Genomic DNA, 4,765 nt, shown 5'->3' with positions numbered 1-4,765 from the left:
TACAAAGAGGATGACGGATCAAACAGGCAAGCACAGGAGGATGCCGGGAGCCAAATTTCTCCTTCAGAGCTCTGGCTCTGACTTCCCATGCTGCATTGCCCACCTGTATAGATGAGAAGGGGAAGGACATTACAAACATGGAAGGGGAGATAATGGGAGTTCCATGAGAATTTCAAAACAGGTCATCAGAAATAAAGAGAAAGAAAAGCTACGTGCCGTTAATTCTGAAGGAAGCAATACCTCCAGGAAAGAGGGCTGTCAGACAAATGCATGAATGAAGTCAGGAACTTCTCATGCAAAGGAGGAAAACTGTTACGACGAATACAACAAATTCAAGTATTTCAAAGGAAGGGATGTGATATTATTTCTTTTGCCAATACTTGAAGTAAATAATTTTTATTGTGCCTTTAGCATAAAAACCTATAGTGTTGCGTTGGAACTGAATGTACCACATGAATCATAATATATATATATGTATTCTCATATATACATACACGTGTATATACATATACATATATGTATATGTATATACATATATATACACACACATACAAAGAGAAAGAGAATATTTTATATATTTTAAATATATCTAATAATATATATTATATATAAACAATAAATAAATGTAGACACAAAAGTGTGTTTATATAAACACACATGAACATTTGTACATATTTTTTATATATATCACATATTTACATACACCTATTCTCTAGCTCTGGCCTGGAAGCAGTGATACCCTGTTAACAATGAGCACACCCAAAACCCAGAACTTGATTTGTAAATACAAGTTTCCACTAAGAGTAACATGGCTCCTTGGAAAATGGCTAATTCCAGGACTGCAGCAGAGAAAGTCATAGGTGAGCCAGGAATATCTTGTGCAGAAAGCAAGATACAATGAGTGTATATCAAATGGACACACAGAATCCAGCTTGAAAAGACTCCCCATTATCAAATGGTGGACAATTTCAGCATCAAAATAAATAATGCTTAAAAATAAACATTATTATAAATAATAAGTGTTTATAATAAATAACATTATTTTATTATGTTATACGTAAGTCCTAAAAATAGTAAATAATACATATAACAGATTATAATCCATTAAACAAAATAAGAAAACTAATGAATCTGAAATCCTGGGGTGGCACCCAGCAATCTGCGTTTTAACAAGTCCTCCAAGTGAGTTGATGTCTGCTGAAGTTTGGTAACCACTACTCTGGGGTAATTCTCCCAAAAGAAGTGAATCAAGTTTATAGCAAAGTAGCAAATGGTAAGAGATTAAATGGCATTTTGTTTAATAGGTCATTTATTTGTTACTTTATGGGAATACTCATGGCCTTAAAGATAGCCAGATTTTCAGAAAAGCCTGCTAAAATTCATCAAGAGCCTATATTTCTGTTGTCTGTACAACCACTCTTTTTTGTTTCATTTTATTCACTTATTCTTTTTAGCAGGTTTTTAATGAGCTTGTACCTGGAAGGGTCAAGAGGCTCGGAAATCCCCTTTATTTCCCTACAACCTGCACTGTGACCCCACTGGAAAGTTAAGAACATAGAAACCTGCTTATCATACCTCCTGCAGCATTGATGAAGGCTAATCCCAACTTCCCCATCTCAGGACGGAGCCTCTGAGCGTCTCCACTTGGGAAACCACCAGTGCCCTTTGCTGCTGCTTCACTGTTGGAAGCTCTGAGCTACTAATAACAGAGAAACCTTAAACTCATCCTTTAGTACATCTGTACAATAAAGCACCCTCCGTTTCCACCTAGTGGTTAAGGGAGGGCAGGGAGAAAGGGATCCAAAAAGCTTTTCCAGGCCAAAAGGAAGTCACCGGCTCATGCACCTTTCTTTGCATCTTCTTTTCTCTATAGCCCTTTGTTCTTAGGAACTTCCTACTCTCCCCAGAGCCAGGTGTTCCAGATAGGATCTTCGGGGCTGATTGGTTCCTGGAGGCATCATTTTGTGGAAAGTAACTCATTTAACACTAGTGGAAGTTTATTGTCCATGAAACTAAAATATGTGCCCATGGGAGATGCTGGACTCTGATTCATGTAACCCTGAATGAAGCTCTCTGTGCTCTAGAAGATGAAAGAAAAGGAACTCCCGAAAGTCTTTTTTAGTTTCAAATTTACTTCTTCATTTTGCTCTAGAGAACATCAGTTCCTCTGTTTATCTCTGCAGATTCGTTTCCTTTATCTTTCTTTTTCGCTTTCTCTTTTATTTCTTCCATTTTCCATCTCCAAAGTCTGAGCTGGTTGGCAGAGGTGTATAGTAAAGATTAAAAGAGCAGAGAAACAGTCATGGTTAAGTTGAGAGGCACAGTGTAGGAAATAGTTTGATTTTCTTCTTTTCGTTCTAGAAAGCCCAATTCAAGTGAAAGGCAAACCCCAAATTTGTAGTAACTAAGCAAGAGAATCATCTGAGAAATAGTCCCGTATAAACACTAGTCCTAAAAATAGTAGTAGGAAGTCATAAGCTGATCTGAGCAAGATGGGTTGAAATTTGCAATGTCCTGTGTGAAACAGCACTATCCTTTACATGTTGACAAGATAATATTCTGGATCCTAATTCTTTCCATTTAGTAAAGTATAATTATTTAATGAAATGATCAGTGTAAGTTATTTATTGCTACGCAACAGGTCACCTCAAAACTTAGGGATTTAAGATACAATCACCATTCATTTGCTTATGACCATGCAATTTGGGCAGGACTCTGCAGAGATAGCTTTGTTCCTCATGTTTATTTAGCTGAGTCATCTGGAAGCTCAGCTGGAGCTGGAGAATCCAAGTTGGCCTTTCTCACCTGTCTGGGTCTTAGCTAGTTGATTAGAAAGGCTAAGTCAGCTGGACCTTTCTTTACCTCATAGTCTTTTCTCCGCTAGGGCCTCTTTCTTCCTGAAGCCTCCTCAACAGAATAACCTTGCTTCTTCACATAGCAGTTGAATTCTAAGACAGCAACAGTGGAAAATAAGACCTCTGGCAGTCTGTTGTACCTGAGCGAGTTAGAGAAAACACCACAATTTGAGATGAATTAAGAGTCCGTTTATTTAGCCGGCGGCCAAGAGACGGCTAATGCTCAAAGTTCTCTTGGCCCCGAAGAAGGGGCTAGATTTTCTTTTATACTTTGGTTTAGAAAGGGGAGGAGCGGTCTAGTTAAAACAATTTTACAGAAGTAAAGTAGGCAAAAAAGTTAAAAGGATAAATGGTTACAGGAAGGTAAACAGTTCCAGGTGCAGGAGCTTTAAGACTATTACAAGATGATAGACGCGGGGCTTGGGGCATTATCAATCGGACGAATTCCTGGGAACTGCGGATATAGCTTGCCACAGTATCTTATCAGTTAATTGCATTCTTGGATGTGCTGGGAGTCAGCTTGCACAAGTTAAGTCCTTGAGGAAGGGGCTGCGAGTGAAAGAGCCAAGATGGAGTCTGTCTGGCTCTCTTAGCTAAAGGAGAGTCAATTCAGGTGGAAACAAGGCTAGGTGATTAAAGGAAAGGGAGAGTCTAAAAACAGCGTTAGTAAAAACAAGGTTGGGCATTACATTCTACAACCAGAACTTGTTCAGTGTCACTTCTACCATATTCTCTTGGTCAGAGAAATCACCCATGATTATTGCAGCACTATTCATGATAGCCATGATATGGAATCAACCTAACTGTCCATCAACAGATGAATGGATGAAGAAAATGTGGTAGATATGCACAATGGAATACTATTGGGCCATAAAAAAAGAATGAAATCAATTAACAGCTGTAGCTGGGGCAGCAGAGGAAGTCAGGCTCCACATGCACTCCCCCAAGAAAGGAGCATAATCCAGTCGCTAAGAAGCAACTGCAGACCTCGCCTCCACTGCATCTTACAGGCCATAGTACTATTAAGAAGTAAAAGGGTGGGAGTTTCTGATCATCATGGCGGACAGGAGACAGGACTAGCTTACAGCTCTGACTTGTACAGACAGAGCAGTGTGCAGAGGCTTGTATTGTGAATTTTAGCTGCAGAACGACTGCAAGAACAAACCAGGAATCCCAAGAGGACCCACAGACCCTCTGAAGGAAGCAGACTACTCCTGCAGGACCCAGGAGACCCCCAAATGCTGTGAGTGCCCCAACTGCCGAAGTGGGAAAAGAAGATTCACTGCTCCCGAACACATACCCCCACTGGGGAAAATAAGGGTCTAGTTTGCAGGAGAAGTTTCTGACCTTGCCTGAAGCTGAGTCAATTTAGAGAGCCAAGCAAAATACAGGGGTAGAGCAAGCAGCGGGAAAGGCCCTGGGAGCTTCCCGGGTCCCCAAGTAGGCCACTCTTGCCTGGCACCACAGGGATCCTTCAAGAGGGCAGCCAGAGGTGTGGGGGGAAATGCCACAAACAGAAGGAAATCTTTAGCTAAACTTTGTAACAATTTGAACCAGGCAAGAAGCCTCCTGGCCAGAACTCGGGGCAGAACAAGAATCCGGCATGCAGACTCCACAAGCAGGGGAAGAACCAAAGTCCTTTTCTTTCCAAGCTGGGAGGCAGGTAGCCTGGGGCAAGTTCTCAAGCCCTGCTTGCCCACTGCCTGGACACAGACTCGGGGCTGTTTGTGGGGGTTCATGGTGGAAGTGAGACCGCCCTTCAGATTGCGTGGGAGCTGGGTGAGGCCTGTGATTGCCAGCTTTCCCCACTTCCCTGACAACCTGCATGACTCAACAGAGGTAGTGATAATCCTCTTAGGTACGCAACTCCAGTGACCTGGGAAGCTCACCCCCATTCCCCACAGCAGCTG

The 4,765-nt window shown here is 41.6% G+C and overlaps 1 annotated feature.

Annotated features, from left to right (window-relative positions):
- Positions 2,021-2,290: an enhancer, noted in NCBI's record as "active region_20161". NCBI's record gives its function as "activates an Ori minimal core promoter by ATAC-STARR-seq in GM12878 lymphoblastoid cells {active_cell/tissue: GM12878}" and the evidence as "EXISTENCE:reporter gene assay evidence [ECO:0000049][PMID:35858748]".

This window comes from Homo sapiens, chromosome 3 (genome assembly GCF_000001405.40).
Source record: "Homo sapiens chromosome 3, GRCh38.p14 Primary Assembly".
NCBI lineage: Eukaryota > Metazoa > Chordata > Mammalia > Primates > Hominidae > Homo > Homo sapiens.
The sequence above is the reverse complement of the archived record's forward strand: the minus strand, read 5'-3'. Positions and strand labels throughout refer to the sequence as shown.